Source organism: Homo sapiens, chromosome 3 (assembly GCF_000001405.40).
Source record: "Homo sapiens chromosome 3, GRCh38.p14 Primary Assembly".
NCBI lineage: Eukaryota > Metazoa > Chordata > Mammalia > Primates > Hominidae > Homo > Homo sapiens.
The window spans coordinates 76,536,164-76,556,959 of NC_000003.12; the positions used below are offsets into that span (position 1 = coordinate 76,536,164).

Here is a 20,796-nt window from a genome sequence, read left to right on the forward strand (position 1 = left end):
TTGTTCTGAAGTTTTTCTGTGCTGAAGGCGTGGCTGAGGTTTGTCTTACAGCGGAGGCAAGCAGTTGCAGCTCAGAAATACATTGCCACTTGGCTGACTCTTCTCTATTGTTGAACACCTTGAAGGCAAGGTTGATTACTCCTGTTGTGGGGTTTGAGGGCCAGATTCCAATTTGTGAAGCTTTTTTCTAATGTCAGGAGCTGACTGGGTGATAAAATGCATATTAAGAATAAGACGGCCTTCTGGCCCTTCAGGGTTTAGGGCTGAAAAGTGTCTAAGGGTAGCCACCAAGTGGGCCATGAACTGGGCTGGGTTTTCGTCTTTACCTTGGGTACCTTCTTTAAGCTTGTCATAATTGATAGCTTTGTATGCTGCCTTTTTCAGCCCTTCAACTAGGCAAGAGACCATGTAATCTCACCTAGCTATACCTTGGGAGCCTGTCTGCTATTCCCATCGGGGATCCTCTCGGGGAACTGCCCTGGTGCCTTCTTGAAGGTCTGGCTCATGACGCTGGCAGGTGTCAGTGTGAGATTGGGCTAGGGTATAAACAACTCTTTCCCGCTCATCTGGGGAGAGGGGAGAGGTCAGGATGACATTAAGTCACTCCAGGTTAAATTGTAGGACTGAGTCAAACATTGGAATTCCTGTATATATTTAGTGGGGTCTGATGAGAAAGAGCCCAGATGCTGACTGATTTGGGAAAGGTCTGATAGAGACAAAGGTACATGAATCCTTACTATGCCCTCAGCTCCAGCCACCTCTCTAAGAGGAAATTGTTGGGCAGGTGGGGGAGAGCTAGTTGTGGAACGAAACTGTAAGCCAGACTGAGCGTGAGGAAGGGAGGTGATAGAAGAATTATAAGGTTGGGGAGTGGAGGCTGAGGAAGAATTGGGACTTGATTCAGCCTGCTGAGGAGTGGTCTGTGGAAGGGGAGAGAGGTCAGAGGGGTCTGCAGAAAAGGGAGGATTCAGAGGACTCTGAGGTTGGGGTAGAGACTGAAGAAATGGATGGGAGAGAAAGAGGAAAGATTTGGGATGAGTCGCATTGGGAGCAGAGATTAGGAAGGGAACAAAGTGTAAAAAACACCTGGACATAAGGCACCTCAGACCATTTGCCAATTTTTCGACAAAAATTATCTAAGTCTTGTAGGATGGAGAAATCAAAAGTGCCGTTTTCTGGCCATTTGCAACCATTGTCAAGTTTGTATTGGGGCCGAAGGTATTGCAGAAAAATAAGACGTTTGGGTTTAAGGTCAGATGTTAGTTGAAGAGGTTTAAACTTTTTAAGAACACAGGCTAAGGGGGAAGAAATTGAAGGAGAGAGAGACTGAAGGGTAGCGAGAGAGGCTGGAGAAGAGGGTGAAAAAGACCACTTACCCGATTTGAAATTGGTGAGATGTTCCTTGGGCTGGTCTGAGGACCCAAGGTCATATGTGGATCTCCTCATGGAGAGAGGGTGAGGACAGGGAACCAGTCTCCCGAAGGAGTCCCCCTGTCCCTGGTTTCAGCACCAAGTATCACTCATGTTTGTATAGAAGACCACCTACACAGGCTTTGTGTGAGCAACAAGGCTGCTTATTCACTTGGGTGCAAGTGGGCTGAGTCCGAAAAGAGAGTCAGCAAAGGGAGATAGGGGAGGGGCAGCTTTACAGGGCTCGGGTAGGCAGTAGAAAGTTACAGTCAAAGGTGGTTATCTGTTGTCAGCAGGGGAGGGGGTCACAAGGTGCATGGTGGAGAGACCATGAGACTCACTGTCCAGGAGAAGAATGTCCCAGGGTCAACTGATCAGTTAGGGTAGGGCAGGAACCAGTCATAGTGGTGGAAGGTCATATGGAGGGTCAATCGGTGAAGGCAGGAACTGGGGTTTCACTTCTTCTGTGGTTTTTCGGCTGCTCCAGATTTCGTGGCTCCTGCAGACCATCTGGACATATGTGTGCAGGTCACAGGGGTTATAATGGCTGAGCTTTGGCTCAGAGGCCTGACAGAACTCACACACACACACACACACACACACACACACACCATATTCATACACATGTGGGCAAGTGTATGTATGCAGAAAATGGAAAAATAAAGATTCTGGTTTAACTGTGTACAAACTCAAAGAAGAAAAAGTTTCCTCTATTTATTTGTCCCTCTCCCTTCTCTTTTCTACGTAGGCAATTCCCAGTGTCCAGCAGGATTATAACTTCTACAAAGAAGTTGTCTTTAAAATTTTTGATCCAGACTTATTTTTTCCTTTTCTGAATTAATAACTAACCACCTGTGCCACTGAGTTAGGATATTAATCATTTACATCTTGAAAGCAGGTATGTATTTACATCACGTACCATTGTTTAACTGCTGTTGCTATCTTCTAAAGTAGTACATGCATAAAACCTCTCACACCTTGGACTATTGGTGTGAAAACCAATTGTTTTTTCTTTTTCAAATTTATTTTAGAACTGGGGTACATGTTGTGCAGGATTGCTACAGAGGGAACTTGTGTGAAGCTGAGGTTTGATGTATAAATAAACCCGTCACTGTGTTATTGAGCATAGTACCCAACAGGTAGTTTTTCAGGCCTTGCCTCCGTCCCTCCCTTCCCTCTCTAGTGATCCAGAGTGTCTTTTGTTCCCACCTTTCTTTATGTCCATGTGTACCCAGTATTTAGTTCCCACTTATAAGTGACATCATGCAGTATTTGGAAAACCAAACATTTTACATTTTAATATCTGTAATATATCTAGTGGAATGCTAGCATGCTGTCCTATTTACAACAGCAAAGACTTGGAACCAACCCAAATGCTCAACAATGATAGACTGGATAAAGAAAATGGGGCACATATACACCATGGAATACTATGTGGCCATAAAAAACAATGAGTTCACGTCCTTTGCAGGGACATGGATGAAGCTGGAAACCATCATCCTCAGCAAACTAACACAGGAACAGAAAACCAAACACTGCACGTTCTCACTCATAAGTGGGAGCTGAACAATGAGAACACATGGACACAGGGAGGGGAACATCACACACTGGGGCCTGTCGGGGGATGAGAGGAAAGGGGAGGGAGAGCATTAGGATAAATATGTAATGCATGTGGCTTTTAAAACCTGGAGGACAGCTTGATAGGTGCAGCAAACCACCATGGCACATGTGTACATATGTAACACACCTGCCCGTTCAGCACATGTATCCCAAAACTTTAAGTAAAATTAAAAAAAAAAAAAAGAATGCTAGCACGCTGTCAATAAAGATTCTGCATTGTGTTTCATGCATGGATAGTAGGCCACAAAATTCGAGAATAAACAAATCAAATGGCATCTTCACATATTTTTTCCCTGATAAAAAATGTTCGAGTTGTATTATCCATCCTGTTTAAGTAGCAAAGTATACAGTTTAAATATTTAAACCATTGGAAAAAACTAAAATTACCTGGGTTTGTTCCATCTTCAAAAATGTGAAATTAAAGGCATTCTACTAGAAATAGTCTGTGAAAAAAGAAGTCTAAATATAAAGACAGACTAGTAGGTCAGACAGAAAGAGGATTTGCCTATTCCCATTCTTCTTTATTGAGGCTTTTCTCCTTTCTAATGTCAGAAAGCTGAAAGCATTAAAACTTAACCCACAAAAATTTCCTGACAGAGTGTCAGTAATCAGACCAGTGATCCAGAAGATGATAAGAGAATACTGCTTTTCTAGGTGAGAAAAGAGGAACATTTGGTCTAAGACATTCATGCAAATGTCCAGCTGTAATGAAATGCATTATGAAAAATTAAATATACCTGAGGAAATCTGTACCCAGTTTTTGGACCCTGCTGGAGAGCAGCTAACCTTGCATTTTAGCCAAGATAGTTAACACAGATATTTCCATTTTAAAGGACACTCCAAGAATGCAGCATAACCTTTAATGGTACTTACTTGCCTAAAAAGGCATTCCTGTAACAGAGTTGAGTATGCATGAGGAAACAAAAAAAAAAGGTTTGTTGGAAGAGACAAAACTCCAGTGAAATGTCAGGGACCTTAAAGGAGGAGAAGAATATGAATTGGAAAAGGCCAAGGGAAATGGCTTGCAGACATAGTGACTACAAGGGATAAATAATGAGAGCTTTGTTTGGTAACTGGAGTGAAGTTGTGCTTCTTAAATGTGTGGGAAATGGAATTAGATGGAGAGGGTAATGCTGGATTAAGTAGAGAAGTTTGAACTTAATGCAATAGCTAAAAGAGAATCCTTTTATTTTTGTGAACCTAGTAGTGGTATGGTCTAACTGACTGACACTATTACATCCCTTTGCTCATTGAAAAATATTAAGCTGTTCTTTGCTACTAACTGCTTCCATTGCAGAAATACTAGGACATACAAATAAGCAAAATTGACAAAATTAAAAACCCCATAAACTTACTATCCAGAGACTGAGCAAGTTTTAACTTCTAGAATATATGCTTAATATATAAAACTTCTGGTCAAGTAAACACTAAGTTGGGAGCTCAAAGGTAGTCCATGCAGTGAACACTATTCTTCCCTTGTCATTTGCCTTATTCTCTATGAATTTTGAAATTCACAAACAAAGGACCATTGGCCTTGACATAAGAAATAGAAAAAAAGAAAAGTTTGTTATTTTTAATTTGACTTTTGATTTAATTATTTTTATTTTTATTTATTTATTTTTTTGACAAAGAGTCTTGCTCTGTCACCCAGGCTGGAGTGCAGTGGTGAGATCTTAGCTCACCACAATCTCTGTCTCCCAGGTTCAAGTGATTCTCCTGCCTCAGCCTCCCAAGAAGCTGGGATTACAGGCATGCACCACCGCATCTAGCTAAATTTTGTATTTTTAGTAGAAATGGGATTTCGCCATGTGGGCCCAACTGGTCTCAAACTCCTGACCTCAAGTGATCTGCCCGCCTCGGCCTCCCAGAATGCTGTGACTACAGGCATGAGCCATCAAATGAAGCCAATTCGACTTTTCATTTAGTTTAAATAAATAATTATCAATTAAACGTTAGTCCTCCTCCTGGCACTTGTAATGATTGATTCCTTGGTATTCATTCCTTCAACATATAATTATGGAATAACTACTTCTTATTAGGCTTGATAAATAAGACAGCCTATCTTCAAAGGGGTTAACATCTAATACTCTTTACATTGGTTTCTCTTTGGTATCTTTGTCAAACATGTGTGGAAATTTATGACACAGCTATGCTTTATCCGGCTCAGTTTAAAATGATAAACATTTTCAAATCTTGATTCCCATGCCAGTTTTATTCTCAGTATCAAATTTCTCACATACCTAAGATGTATTTTTTTTAATTGCTGAAGAGGTGTTTATTTCTTCATTGTTATTTCATGTGTGTGTGCCATGTGCTAGTCTATACCAGTCAGGTCCTGTTATAAGGGCCAGGGATGTAAAGACAAGTGAGAATTGGCATAGGAGAGCCCACAGCCTTCAGATGGCAAAGAGAGAAGAGTAAATTGAGTGTTTTGTTGGATCCCACTGATGGCGTGGCACACGTAAGAGAGGAGGCGCTTCCCTGGAGGAGGTGATTTCAGACCTGGTGTAAGTAGTTGGGAAGGTATTAAGAGGCTGACATTGTTTGGACTAGAAACTAGGGGTTCTACCTCTTTTTTACGTGACCTAGGTTTTGATTTTCATTTTGTCTGTCATGCTGTTCCTACCTTGTTCATTTTCACAACTTTGTTCAAAACAGCCTCCAGGCTTCTTGAGCCATTTTGTGTATTATATATTAACACCATCCCAGGGGATTACTTTCCCACTTCCTTCTTGAGAAAATAAAGACTACAAGACATGAAGTTTCTTGATTTCTTTCATCTCAGCACTTACCTTCACCAAATGCTTCTTTCCTTCTTCCCTCCTCTCTGCCACTAAAGTGCCCACTTAAGTGCAGTACTTCATCCCCATTTGTCTTCTCAAAGGCTTCAGTGATCATTTTTTTTCTCTCTTGTAGTTTAGACTCTTTTCCTCTACCCTCATTTTCTTTTTGATCTACAATCACATCAAGTCTACAGGCATGTTTAGGTGCCTTCTATATTTTTTTTAAAAGTGAAGTAAATTTGTTATTGATTGCTGGGCCAAAGCTCTGGAATGTCTTATAGGGTCTAGTGATGCAGGAATGTATAATAGTGATCAGCACTTATTTCTATTAATATATGGGAATATGGTGAACCTTTCTGTGCTGGTTTTCCTTTCTCTATCCGCACCCCATTCTGCAGTATTCCCCTAAGCTTTAACCTGTAAAGATGGGAAGTCCAGGCCTTGGCTTCCCTTGCCTGGCAGATTGGTCACTTAATACCAGGTGTTGAGGTTGGTCATAGGAAAGTTGTATCTACTCATTGTATCTTTTGATCTTAGGTATGGATGTTTTTGCACTGCTGTTTACTGACTGAATAGAAATTCTAAGGAACAGTAACCTAAGGCTGAGTTCAAGTCTTCATTTTTTCTTATTGTGAGCCTGGACCAGCTTTCATGGACTAGATCTGCTCACCTTTTTTCTGTCCCTTCAGGATGCTTCCTCTCTCTCTCCTTTCCTTTCATTCCGCAAGATCTTGAAAGGAATAATCCACACTTAACTGCACCCACTTACTCAACTTCTCTTTACTCCTCTGTCCAATAATATCTGCCTCTTCCCCTAACCACTCTACTGATAATGTACTTGCCAAGATGTTTAAAGCCTTTCATATTGCCAAATTAAATGCCATTTTCAATTCTAACTATACTTGACTTCCTTACAGCATTTAGTGCTGTTGACACTTTAACAAGTCATTAAATCCATTCCTTCCTAGGGTCAGTTTATCTCAGTTTTCCTACGACATTCTCATTCTCCTTTGCCGTCTTCTCTTTTTGTCTTTCCCTCTGAAACAATGATGTTTCTCAGGACTTCATGTTTGTTCTGATTAACTTCTTACTTCATGTTCTAATTGAATGGTATTATCCATATTTTCCACAGCTGATAATTCACAAATCAAAATCTGCATTCTAAATTTTCTTAGTAGTATTGTATTTTTAACTCTGGACTAGATACACTCATCTGATTGTTCACAATGACTGTTATGGACTGAATTGTGTTGTCCCCAAATTTATATGTAGAAGTGTTAACCCACAATGTGACTGTATTTGAAGATAAAGGAGTAATTAAGGTTAAGTGAGTTCATAGGATGGGACTCTAATCCAATAAGCCTGGTGTCCTTATAAGAAAAGGAAGAGACATCCAGTAACAACATACACAGAGGAAAGTCCATGTAAGGACACAGCAGGAAGCTATTGAGCCTCACCATTCATCCCAAACAAACAAAAATCAGAAACCTTAGAATCATCTCTTTTCCTTGTTCCTACATCTAACAGAAAGGAAGATGTAGCAGTTTGGTAAAGAGTACGGGCTCAGAGACAAACAGCCTGTATTTCAATTTTAGGATTGCCATTTGCTAGCTCTATAACTGCGGCAAATTATTTCACCTTCATGTCTCATCTGTGACCACGGTTTTGATGTAAATGTCTATTTCATAGGGTTGTTAGGAAGAATAGAATGCTTCTATTCTCAAAGAGTATGCATTTACTAATGTTAACTTTTATAATCACCAGCGTCATTATTAAATACTACCACATCTTCTCAGTGACAGCTGAAATATCTTTAAATCCAGACCATCTTTTTTTTGAAATCCCTGTTGTCACTCCCAAGCACTCCTCATAACTCACCTTGGCTATCCCCTCAGATCTCTTATTTCTAGCTGCTTCTTTCTATAAAATATTTTATGCTCCTCAGTCGATCTTCAGGGGAAAAATATGCTAGAATAATCCTTGGTGAAAAATCTGAATACATGCTCTTCATTTTCTTCTAATACTCCTCCCACTGCTTATGAGGGAAAAATCCACATTTATTAGCATTTTAGACACTATTTTAAAAAATCTCATTCCCACAATAGCCTTTCACCCATCTATAGATACAATGCCACTTTGCCAAGACTGAGCTCATCTTGTTGAGAAATATGCTCAGTTTCTTCATGTCCTAAAGAGTCAGTAGCTGTTTACCAACATCCTTCCTACTTTTCTTCACCTGGAAAATTATAATTCATCCTTCAAGATTCCTCTTAAATAAGTTCTTACTAACAGATGTTCATAAGACCCTAATGTCTATGATCTTTAAAGGTTGATTTCACCCCATGTTGATCCATCTATGTTTAATCTTTTAAAAAATGAAAATATAGATGTATTTTGAAAGTCAAAAATAATTAACATGATCATTTATTTATATTAAAATGAATCTATTTTGACTAGAGTTTTATAGTATTATCTAAGTTTAATGTGTTGTTTAAAAATTTCCTCCAGCCATTTCTTTTTTTGGCTTTTTAAATTCAAGTGTATTCCATTTTTCTGCATCTATCGCTACACTTATACATACCAAATTATGACTTTATGTAGTTTTAAAATACCCATATTTGTAGACTAGTTCTGTCCACATAGTTGTTGGCTTTAGTACACTGTGAAGAAGGACACAGACTGTGGAGTCAAACTTCCTAGATTCAAATTTCAGGTTGACCACTTAACAGTGGAGTCACTACAGGCAAATAATTCAATTTCCTGTGCCTCTGTTTCCTCAGTAGTAACCTCACAATGACATGATGCCCGTTAAATTAGTCAAAGGATAGAAAGCTCTTAGAAAAGTGGCTGATAAACAGTAGTAACCCAATAACCATGGGGTACTTAATTAGTTTAAAAGCCTTTACTGCTACCCTTTTGTTGACTCAAGCAGTTTCTTTCTTTTCTAGTTCGGACTCCTATACGCAATTGCACAAGTCCATGGACAAGAGATTCCCCTCCATCATATCCCACACATTGAGTAGATATTGATGTCCAGGGCTAAACTTACACAGAAGATACAATCAAACGAACTGGATTTTTTTTTACTCCATATTATGTCAAATCATAACATTGACTGAACTTATCCATCTTCTATTTCTGTTCAGTATTGCCATCAAAGGAGTATATGGCAGAGAGACCCAAGTTAAGTGGATACTTCGATTTTTCTCTAGGGTACTAGGCCTTGTAAAATCATTAAGCAATACGTGTACAGTTTACATTCCGAAATGCATGTGATTCATTGAGAAGTAAAGTGAAATTAAGGGTCTATTTTTATCTATGTCGGACAATCAAGTCCTGAATTAGATGTAATTATAGAAATTCTTAACATTGCATACCTACTGTCGGTTAAGTCATCACCTAGAAGTTTTGGACAAAAGAGTTTTCCATGTTTCTGTCAAAGTGATATACATTTCCCTTCGAAAATGTGGAAGTTTTCTTAAGATAAGGCTTACAAGTAATTACTGGGGAAACTGAGATGATTCTCCTTGAGCCTGAAGAATTATGGATTCTGTCTTCAACAGCCCTGCTGTTAATGATTCTAACATTGTTAATTTTTTATGTTCTAATCATGTTCAGTTACAGCCTTAACTTTGACTCTCGTGAAATATGTTCCTACAAAATATCTTTCTATCATCATAAACTGAAATTCATAATAGAAAATGATTTCAATTATCCAAGGTTATGCTGATCTTTTTTCTTGAGTATATTTTGTATTTTCTTAATTTATCTTATACTTTGTCAAAAAGTGTAGTTTTATTCTAAATTTTTTCTTTCAAATTAATGCCTAATTCTATCTAACATATTGTTAATAGTAATATCTGCACATATACTTAGTTATTTTCCAGCTTAAATATTTTAAATAAGGCAATATTCTATTTATTACGAAAACAGTATATTTCCATGTTCTGAAAGGGTTTTAAGGTGACTTACAATGATTATACTAGAGGAGGGTATTTTTTGTTGTTACTTTTTGTTCCTGACTTTTCACTAGAATTAAGTGACAATGGCTAAGTTCCCATCCACAGTTTTATTATAAAGATAATAATATTATGGCCTAATTGGGTGTATATAGAAGTTCCTTGGTAAAATCATTCCAAATTCTCAAGTAGACATATTTTTCAAGAGTGGTCCGTGTGCAAAGCTATAAACAGTATAAATCCAAAATATTTCTCTCTTCCATCAGAAATCTAAATAGTTATTGGATATTAATTAACATTAGGCAAATTTAACTACCTATAATTCTATAAATGGAATTTAAAGAAAAATACTGGTACTGTTTCCTGTCACAAAGCAAATCAAATTCTTCCTGTTAACTAATTATTTTTAGCAATTTCAGCTGTGTAGAAGGTAAAAGTGCTGCCCAAAGATGCCTATGTCTTAATCCTTAGAACCTGTGTATATATTAGTTTGCACGGCAAAGAGAAATTAAGATTATAAATGGAACTAAGGTTGCTAATCAACTGACCTTACATTAGGGAGAGTATCTTGAGTTGTCCAGGTGATTCTGATGTGATCCTTAGGGAAGAAGAGGAAGAAGGGAGCCAGAGAAATGGCAATGTGACAAAGATTACATCTGTTGTTGCTAGCTTTGAAAATAGACCTCCAGAATTGTAAAATAACAAATTTGTGTTGTTTTAACCTCCTCAATTTATGGCAATTTATTACAGTAGCCATAGGAAATTAATATGTTACCCACCTCTACATGACCACTATCTTCAGTGTTTGACAGTAAATTATTTTTTGTTTCTACTACAAGGAAGTCTAACACGAGTTTTTTTTTTAAGTCTAACACTTGATTTTTACTCTACACAAAACTTCACATTGCTGTCTTGATGTCTTTGCTATATTGACCTAAGCCAAATTCAAACTACTGAAAAGGTAAAGTTTCAACCTCAAGAGCTTGTCCTTTGGGCCAAGCAATGCTTAGATTCACAGTTTTGAAAATTAGCTACCCCATATTTAAGCAATCCAGTTTAAGAGCAAAACTTAATTACTTAATTACTCTAGAGAGTCTTCAAAGTTCAATGCACAAAAGCAGTTAGGCTAATTTCCAGAAATCAAAAATTTTCCCTTTTAATTTTCTTGATACAGTCCAACTAGTATAACTTGATTTCTTATTTCATATTTTACTAAAGCACACTTAAAGTGCATTAAAAATAAAGATGTTTTTAATAGCAAATTCTATAATTTACTTGTACTAAAATTAAATGGTCTTCCTCTTTCACATTTTGCAAAGTTTGACAGCATATTTATTTTTTCCTTATGTATATGCTGTCAGATAACCTTGTTCAATTTAAAGCACTGTCTTAATTCACTGGCCCCCTGATAAAAACATGTGACTTTTCCTTAAAGCCTATGTATTGTCATTTGTATAACACCACATGTTTTACAAAACACAGCTTTTTTTGAACTAATGGATTTATGTCTAGGTGGGTAAAGTTTATTTTTATGCTCTGCTGATGATAGAAAATATCTATGGAAGAAAAGAAAGAAAGCATTAAACTCATACTGAAATTTCAAGTTATAGATGTAAAATTATTATTATATTGTGTTTTTAAATTGAATATTATTCAACACATTCCTCTACTTGAACTATGCTGGGTTACAAGAGGGCAATAATCAATAAAGTAGCTCATTATTTGTGATACTTCTAATTACCTCTATGCTAGCACTGACGCTATGGTTTAACCAATGCATATTTTAAAAATTTGCTTGAACAGGATCTTGTTATCACCCTAATTTTTGCTGTGGAGTTTTATTAGAAAATCACGTTACTCATCTGACTGCCACAACAACAGCATTATCTCTAGGGTACTGTTTTTTATATCAAGGTTAATTTAAAGTGATTAGCATAAGCACTACAGATGTTGCTATGGGGATAAGAACTGCACATCTTCTGTGATGGACATCATATGATTGCTGTTACAGTCCTGGTAAGATTGAATTATTTGTTTTAATGTCATGTGAAACAAGTCACATGATAAAGATCAGTATCTTTTTAATAGCATGCCATATTCCTAAATCAATCACCTTTTCACTTGCACAGAATGGTGCATATATAAAACTCACTACTTTATTTTTGGTAAGGTAAATTCATCATGATGTTTGGATATTCAGAATATTTCTTTTAATTGGTATTGATTTTTCTATCTCCCAAGAGGAAAGACACAGTGGTTAAAAGGAGAGTGCTTATTCACATTCAATTCATTCAACAAACAGTCATTGAAAGCTTACTATGGGTCTGGCATTTTCCATATGCTGACAAAAAAATGAAATTTTGTAGTAAATATTTGCTTTGCCTTGTTTTTCCCAGTTGAATCTGGACACACATAGATTCCAGCCCTGGAAATAGTATAAAACATGAGGCTTGAGTGGGAGAGATCAGGGGTTGGAATACAGAAGCCAATGGCACCCTGTCTTTGAGAATGGGTAAGAGAGGGATACCATTGAAGAACAGACATGACAAATGAGAATCCCACATGTTCACAAACAAGAGTGGTGTGAAGAGTGGGCATTCTGAAAGAAGAGACTGAGAAGTAAATATTGAAATCTTGAGAAATAAATATGGAAAGAAATTCCATCGCTTATCACTTTTATTCCTGGGAACCAGAGGGAGGATTTTTTTTTTTTTTAATAGACGGGAGAAGTCAAGGAGAAAGCAATAAAGTTGAGGAGTAAATGGGAGAAGTAACAGTTATTTCTCCACCATAGCCAAAATTTTTGTGTCTACTAACATCAAGAAATCGAAATCAGGTGAAAGAGGGACGCTAATGACAATGGAAAGATGAATACGGTCTCTAAACAAGAAAGCATTCAATTACCAGAAAAATGTATGACCGTGGGAAGAGTTCATAAACACTGCCCCCACTCCAGCTCCACCATGGATTATAGTGAAGACTGAGTAGTCAAATCCACAGTTTGTGCAATTCAATTTCCTAATCCCTGAAGACACTAGGAACAATTTAAGTTTATATATAATTATTATTGTAGAGATAGAGTATCACACTAATAAATTTTCAGAATTCCCTGAAAAAGTTTTAAGATGTTTATGATACTGATCACAAACATATCTCATAATATTTGGGGTTGGGGTGCGAGAAGAATATTTTTTACTGGGAATTTGATAATTAGAACATTCATAATGCCAAATCATCTATAAACACCATTTTTTATTTTTAAGTTTTAAAAATTGTCATGAAAGGCAAATTTTCTCCAATTCAAATTTCATATAAATATACTGAGTTCTGGCAATGTGAATATGAACTCTTTTCCCCAAAGTCTTTTATCAGAATCTCCATCATTTCCCGTAATTTGGCCCCGAAGAGCAGACCACAGTGGCTGTGGTGTAAAACGTTACCTCCTCTTTAGATAAAATTATTAGGAAAGTGTTGCCTCTACTGAGATTTTTCCTGAGTCAATGCCCAGTGCAACGGCAGGGAGGAAACCATTAACTCTCCTCTGAGAAGGTTCTGTCTGGTGATAGAATTTTTAAATTAAAGTACTTAGTGATTGTAATCAAGTTGATATTTCAATGTAACAAGTAGAGCAGAAAATATGCCTGTACCTGAGAATATTCCATCAATATACCCTTTCCGATAGTTTATCCTGTTTCCTGTTCATCAGCCTTGGTAAGTGACCATCAATAACGTAGTGACGCATCTTAGGGATAGTGGATTCAGTTTCTCCAGAAGCACCCTACTTCATTTTAAAAAAGATTCATCTACTAGAAAATTCTTCCTTAGGTTTGATTGGGATTTGTCACCTTAAAACTTTCACTGGTTAGTCCAAGTTGTGGCCTGTCTGTTTATCTGGAAGCTTTCACATATCTGAGAACTTGGCCAAATCCTGCCATCATCTCAAGCTTCCTATGTGTAAAAGTAAACTCATTCCTCTTACTGTAAAGATGATTTGCCCTTTCTTGTTTCTCCCTTTTTACAGTTTTAGAATGTTCCCTACTGTCAGGCAGCTAATAATCTAACTGAATTTTTTAAATGTTAAATATAAGTAATAAACATCTGACTGTTATTACAATATTCTTGATGTAGCTTCAGTGGATTGTTTTGTTGTTGCTTTTTATTGCTTTACTTTTTAAATATTTTGCCATGTATCTTCACCATAGTAATTGACAGATGCTTATCATCTGTCTCCTTTATAAATGACCACTTCTAACTAACTCGTAAAATGACCACTTCTTGCTAACTCGCATTCCTGTGTCACATGTTTAATATACATAATTTAAGAATTCATCCACTGCATGGGGAAAAAGAAAAGCAAAAATATGTGATAATGCCTTCTAAATATTTCCAGTTAGCATGTAGCCAATAAAAGTAGTCAGCCCTCTGTATCCATAAATTCCACATCCATGAATTCAACAAATATTTGATAGAAAATATATTTTTTAATTGTGTTGGAAGCAGCAGCTTGTCTGAAGTGGCCACTGCAAAGACACTGGCTGTAGCTGGAAAGGCGTGGCTGGGACTGTGTGCTCTGCAGGGCCAGGAGGGCCCAGGAAGGAGCAGGAGCCCTGCCCCCTTCCAAGTTGGTGGGGTAGAAGCCCCTCACTCCCAGGCACAGCTGCAACTGTCCAGCCACAGCTCCAGACCCAGGCATCCCTGCACTCTCAGGGGCCTGGGAAGCTCCTGCCCCCACAGGCTCAGAAGTGCCTGCTCCCACTCTCTGGCCTCTCCCCGCACCCAGTGCTCACTCTGGTGTGGAGCAAAGCTGTGGCCAAACCCAGGTGCTGGCACGACCTGGCTGAGTATGTGCACACTCGGGATGGCACTGACATGCCAGCTCCCTGCTGCCTCAGCCTTCTTCAGACTTTGGTCACTGAAGAGCATGGGAGGGATCCCTGGGGGAGCTGAGGGCAGCTTAGTGCAGGCCTGCAGGCAACCCTTAGTGTGAACAGCCTGGGTGCTGTGGATGGCATGTTGATGGCAGGAGGCGGACAGGTTCCTGGGCGGAAAGTGTTGGGTCCCTAGTGAAACTCCACCTTCTAGGCAGGGACAGCTAGGAGTCTCGGGGGCGAGCTGCCAGCTCCAGGTGGAGTTGGTGGCCCAGAGTGAGAACTTATGGTGCTTTTTCCAGTCCCACCCATGGCCATCCATGGAAGCACAATCAGCATGAACTTTCTCCCTTCTGAGCCCATGAAAACCCCAGACTCAGCCAGACTCACACAGAAGTTGGGACTACCAGCTGCAGGAAGGAGCTGCCCACTTTGAGTCTCCTCAATTCGTAAGAACGACCTGCCTGATGGAACAGAAGGGAGCTACCTACTAAAGGTCTACTCTCCTCTGAGAGCTGAATACCCATCAGGACAACCTGCCTGCAGAAAGGACCTACCCACTTCAGGTCTCCTGAGAGCTGTTCTGTTGCTCAATGAAGCTCCTTTCCGTCTTGCTCACCCTCCAGTTGTCCACGTACCTCATTCATCCTGGACGTGGGACAAGAACTCAGGACCCACCTAATGGCAGGACTGAAAAAGCTGTAACACAAACAGGGCTGAAACACGCCCCCCACCCTACTCACCACATTGTGGGCAACGAGAAGGATAGAATGAGGAGCTATGGCCCTTCAGGGAGCCCAGACCTAGAGGATCCCTGAACCAGCGCTGTGACACCCTCCTGGGGTTTTGTGACACCCTCTTGGGGCTTTGCAGTTTCTGGCATCTCTACACTTCCAGGCACCACCATGTTCCCCTTGTCCAGATATGGGTGCCCACAGTGGAAGCTGCCTGTGGTACATCAGATCCAACTGCAGCCTTGCATGAAGCCAGTACCTGTGCTGGCACCTGGAGCTGCCCACTGTGCCACAGCAGCCAGTATGCCTGGCTGTGTGCAGTGTCTGGACCCCGTGCTTGCTCACCCACACATCCCTCACTGCTCCATGAATGGCTCATCCTTGGCAAGTGCTGGATCTGGTCTGGCAGTGTGAGCCAAGTGCAGCCTGCAGGGCTGAGTGGGTGGAATGAGCCCAGCAGGTGCGAGCAATACTCAAGCAGAAGGTGCTGCCAGCCACAGAGGTTTCCGGCTGGCACGGCAACACCCCACGGATCCTGTGACAATTGCATCTGTCTTTTTCTTACCATTATTTCTTAGACAGTATAACAACTATTTACATAGCATTTACATTGTATTAGATATTATAAGTAATCTGGAGATGATTTAAAGTATACAGGAGGATACACATAGGTTATATGTAAATACTATACCATTTTATATCAGCAACTTGAGCATCCCAGAATTTTAGTATCTGTCGGGGGCCCTGGAACCAATCCCCCACAGATACTGAGGGACAACCATAATTCATGAAGAGAAATCCAGATTCAAAGACAATTAGCTAGAATTCACTAGGTAAAACATTTATTCTGGCCCTTAAACTAGCATACAATACACATGGAATAATTCACATAGGAGTATTCATCTTAGAAGAAGTAACCAGCTTCTCTCCTTTTCATATAATTAATCCACAGCTTTCTTTTTCATATAATTAATATGCCAGCTTTCTTTTCATATAATTAATCCACAACTAATTATTAAACAACTCTTTTCTGCTTCATATCATGATATTCAAAAAACAATAAACCTTTCACAGACTGAGGAAGGGAAAACATTTGAACAAACAATTATAGTGTAGTGTGGAAACTATGGCAAACACTCTATTGTGAACCCATGTAGAATATATAATCTATATTTGAGTGGACCCCAGAGAAGATGATATCTCAATTTAACCTGAAGGATGAGACAGAGCATGGACCTTTCCAACCACTGAAAGTAGTTCCATTGGGTTCCATTTAGTTGGTTACATAACTAAGAGTTTAGTAATGGGAGTGTGAGGGATTAGTTTGGAAACAGATCATGACAGGTCTTGTGAAATACATTAAATAACTTTGGACTTTATTTTAAGAGCAATAGGAGGCCATCAAAGGATATTAGTAAGAGAAAACTTGATTTGAGAAAGATCATTCCAGACGCCCTGAATAGCAAGTTTGGTGAATGGATGGGTAAGCAAGTGGTGGGGTAGACGGCTGATGAATTCAATAGGAGAGATAGGATGTGAAAGTGAGCAGGACATAGTGTCAACTCTAGACCTTGAGAGAAAGCTGAGATTAAAATATAGATTTGGGACATCAACATATAAACATATATGAAGAACTGGTTTGGAAACAGTCTTTCAGGGATTGTAATTAGAGTGAGAAAGGGGTCAAAACTGCATTGAGAAGGAGCAACATTTTAAGGATGGGCAGAGGAAGACAAGGAAGGAGCAGACAGTGTGGCAGAAGAGATATCGAATAGCGTGGAATCAGGGAAGCTAAGGGAAGATGACTGTCAAGGAGACGATAAATCATATGTCACATGCTACCCGGTTTTTATAACAATTTTAAACAAATCAGTAGTTTTAATGACCAGAAGGTCATTGTGAACTTAGAGTTTCAGTGGAGTGTTATGATCTGAGCGAGATATTTCTGACTAAAGAAACACTAGATATTGGGCTCTACTTTTTACTAATTAGTGGTCTGATATTAGCCAGGATTCTTGAAACCTTAGATTTTATTACACTTATGTGAAATGAAAATGTTAAAATCATTCATCACTATGGATCCTGGAACATTTAAAATTATCAAAATAAATCTGTGATCTTCAGATTTATTTGTACAGAATTAGTCTGTACATTTCTTTCCTTAAGAGCTTTCTGTTTCATGTAAATGTGAGGGTATTTATCATGTTCATAATGATAGATTAGATGGGGGTGGTTACAGTAAATCTCTCTGAACTTTTTGAACACACTAAAAGTTCTATTTTCTGCTCATAAGCAATGAAATTGTGTATCAGCCCACCATATATTAAAATGCTTGCTAATGCTCATTATTATCATGGGTGTGGAAAACAGGCAGTGGAGTAGCAGAGGCAATTATGCCTTCATTCTTCATGCAAGAACTTGGGTATATTTAGCAAAGCTTGAAATATGCATACCAGGAGACCCAGAAAATTTACGTAAAGAATTAGAAAAACGTGAACACTCGCATTTTATTTTAGCATGGTTTATAATCACACACATGAAAATGAAATTACCCTAGATATCCACACAGAGAGGCTAGTGAAACAATTTTTGGTAGATTCATATGAAAACATATTGTATAACTTGTTTGAAAGAATGAGCTACATCTATGGACATAATGTGGAGAGATATTTGAAGAAAAAGGGAACTTGCCAAAGACCATGAACAGAACAGCCTTTTCTTAAGAAAAATAAATTATATACACATATCACAGCAAATGTCAGGGAGAACACTGTTAACAGTAATTATCTCCAGGAGTAGATATGAGGACATGAAGTACAGTAGGAACTTTTTCTTTTTGGGCTTTTTTTGGTTGTTTACGCTTTTTTGTTTAACATGAATGTATGTTATGTTTGCAATAACAGAAATAAAGATAGAAACAAAAGATATGTATTTCCTAACATATGCTTTTGCTTAAACACTTAATGATGTCTTACCACTCCCTGCTCCATGTCCCACTTCGTTGCCTACATTGTAATTGCGTGTCTAAAGGCAAACAGCCCTGTGTAAACTGCTTAGATTCTGTTCTCTCATCTTCCTTTACTTTACTGTGTGTCCCACTTTTCTTGAGCTCCATCATCTAGTATTCACCTGAAATAGGATCGACAACCATGTAGGGAAACTGCTTCTATATAATGAGAGGCTTTCAGTATTTAATTGATTTAATTTTATTTTAAAATGAGCAGGGCCTTGATGTTATGCACATCTTTTTATAAAAAGGCACATTTCTCAGAGGCTGCTCCGAATGGTTTAGCTGCTTTCATGAGTTACAATCCTACAGTGGGAGAATCAGGGAAAAAAATCACATTACTGAAAAAGGCATGTGTCTGGCACGTTCCCAAGGCATGAGTATTTATGGCATGGTGAACTGTGAATTTGATGTTGATGCTTGCACAACAAAAGCATGTGGTTAAAATCTATTTTTGTCACCAGCAAAAAAAAAAGAACTATATTTAAAAGTGTAAAATGTTTGTTTTATAGAAAGTCTTTACCCCAAATGAAAAATAAATAAATCAAGGTCAGTACTATTAATTCTCTATGAAATGGAGGACATTCAATTGAAGTAATATAAAAATCCCTAGTCTATTCTATGCAAACAATTTTAAGGAGAGGAAAATAGGATAGGATAACAATTGCCTAGTGCTTTCCCAGAGCATTTTTTAATAATAACATGTGCAGGGATCATAAATTATCCAAAGTTAGAACTTGGAAAAGATTCATGAAGAGGTACCCAGGAGCATGTCAAAAAAGAAGAAGAGGAAGAGGAGGAAGAGTAGGAAGAGAGAAGAAGAAGAAGAAGAAGAAGAAGAAGAAGAAGAAGAAGAAGAAGAAGAAGAAGAAGAAAGAAGGAGAAGGGGAAGGGGAAGAGGAAGAGGAAGAGGAAGAGGGAAAAGAAAAAATAGATCCCTCTCATCTTGAGTTGAAAATGGTCAGAAACAAGAACACAATGTATGAAGTATGCTTAATGCCAATTGGAATAAAACCTCAGGTACTTTGTAGAGGGGTAACAGGAGAAGATTAAAATGTATTAAGATGGCTCTTTGAATTTCCCATGACTTAAGTTGAGAAATGAAGTACTCTAAGGCTTACATTGCCTTTTTTTAAACCTAAGACACTAATAATTTTCTAAATGTAAATACTATATCAATTTGACAGAAGTAATGAGTAATTAGTTAAGAGGTTCTCAAACAAAGGGTGGTTTAATGACCAAAAGAAAAACTCTGGCCAGGCATTGTGTCTCATGCCTATAATCCGAGCACTTTGGGAGGCTGAGGCAGGAGGAGCACCTGAGGTCAAGAGTGTGAGACCAGCCTGGCCAACATGGTGAAACCTCCTCTCTACTGAAAACAAAAAATACAAAAAAATTTGGCCAGGTGTGGTGGTGGGCATCTGTAATCTGAGCTACTTGGCAGGCTGACGCAGGAGAATCACTTGATCACTTTGAACTCAGGAGGCAGAGGTTGCAGTGAGCTAAGATCATGCCATCGCACTCCAGGCTGTGCAACAGAGCCAGATTCCATCTCCAAAAAATAAAAAATAAAAAGAATGGAAGAAAGTGAGAAAGAAAGAAAGAAAAAAGAAAAACTCCATAGGTTGTAGTCCTCAGGAGATATTAGTATATCCTATTAAGAATTCACACCACATTTCTAAGCTGTATATATGTATTAATGAAGAAATCCGGTCTTCCATATGTTTTCCACCTTAGGCATGAAGAAATTGGAGGGAAGGAAAATATGTTTCCTAGTAGCTCTGAAGCCTCAGAAGGGAAAGGGGGTGATGTATTTTACAAAGACAATAATACTCAATCAAAGTAAAAATAATACTAATATATTGCTCTGCATAAAGAGTGGAGGTTGTACTTTTTAAGGGAGGAGAGGCAAAATATATGTAAGTGATTTGGTATTCTAGATTCAGTGAATATATCAGTATTGTGACAGTTGATACATATGCATATTATAAGTGTTAATAAAAAGAATGGGTGGTATTTGATGTGAAGTTTAATTATGTAAGTAAACATTTCTAATTGGAATTTTTGTGAATTTATTCATTTCTATGCTTATTATCTCATGTGACAAAAATATGTGTTTATGTTTTCCAAAAGCCTTAGTTATCAAAAGAAATTAATTCATAGTGACTTTGGTACTTGTAGAATATGTGTGTATATTATAGATCCATATTATAATGGAATGTGTGCCAATTCAAGTTATTATGCATTTTTAAGATTTTTATCAAAGCAAATAACACGTAAAAAATAAGTTGTACAACAGCCTGACCTAACCAACCCAACATACCTCCCAGTAAAATCCATTTTTTCACCTTTTCGATGTTTGTTCTCTCATAGTCATCTCCATAATTCTAAATAATAAGCTATGCTTTTATTATT

General features: G+C 38.2%; 1 protein-coding gene across 29 annotated transcripts in view, besides 5 other annotated features; it reads left to right on the forward strand.

Moving 5' to 3' along the window:
* ROBO2 (roundabout guidance receptor 2) overlaps positions 1-20,796 on the forward strand; it is a 1,743,290-nt gene that overhangs the window by 629,489 nt on the left and 1,093,005 nt on the right. The window lies entirely within an intron of this gene.
* Positions 443-612: an enhancer, noted in NCBI's record as "experimental_71286 CRE fragment used in MPRA reporter constructs". NCBI's record gives its function as "activates a minimal promoter by MPRAs in K562 erythroleukemia cells, with activity observed for both the introgressed and non-introgressed 3:76585842 or rs139588816 variant alleles {active_cell/tissue: K562}" and the evidence as "EXISTENCE:reporter gene assay evidence [ECO:0000049][PMID:34662402]".
* Position 528: a transcriptional cis regulatory region, noted in NCBI's record as "Neanderthal adaptively introgressed variant 3:76585842 (GRCh37/hg19 assembly coordinates) or rs139588816 in the experimental_71286 CRE". NCBI's record gives its function as "modulates activity of the experimental_71286 enhancer by MPRAs in K562 erythroleukemia cells {active_cell/tissue: K562}" and the evidence as "EXISTENCE:reporter gene assay evidence [ECO:0000049][PMID:34662402]".
* Positions 1,786-1,955: an enhancer, noted in NCBI's record as "active region_20106". NCBI's record gives its function as "activates an Ori minimal core promoter by ATAC-STARR-seq in GM12878 lymphoblastoid cells {active_cell/tissue: GM12878}" and the evidence as "EXISTENCE:reporter gene assay evidence [ECO:0000049][PMID:35858748]".
* Positions 15,202-15,702: an enhancer, noted in NCBI's record as "H3K4me1 hESC enhancer chr3:76600516-76601016 (GRCh37/hg19 assembly coordinates)". NCBI's record gives its function as "activates a minimal SCP1, AML or CMV promoter by ChIP-STARR-seq in primed H9 embryonic stem cells {active_cell/tissue: H9 hESC(primed)}" and the evidence as "EXISTENCE:reporter gene assay evidence [ECO:0000049][PMID:30033119]".
* Positions 15,703-16,203: an enhancer, noted in NCBI's record as "H3K4me1 hESC enhancer chr3:76601017-76601517 (GRCh37/hg19 assembly coordinates)". NCBI's record gives its function as "activates a minimal SCP1, AML or CMV promoter by ChIP-STARR-seq in primed H9 embryonic stem cells {active_cell/tissue: H9 hESC(primed)}" and the evidence as "EXISTENCE:reporter gene assay evidence [ECO:0000049][PMID:30033119]".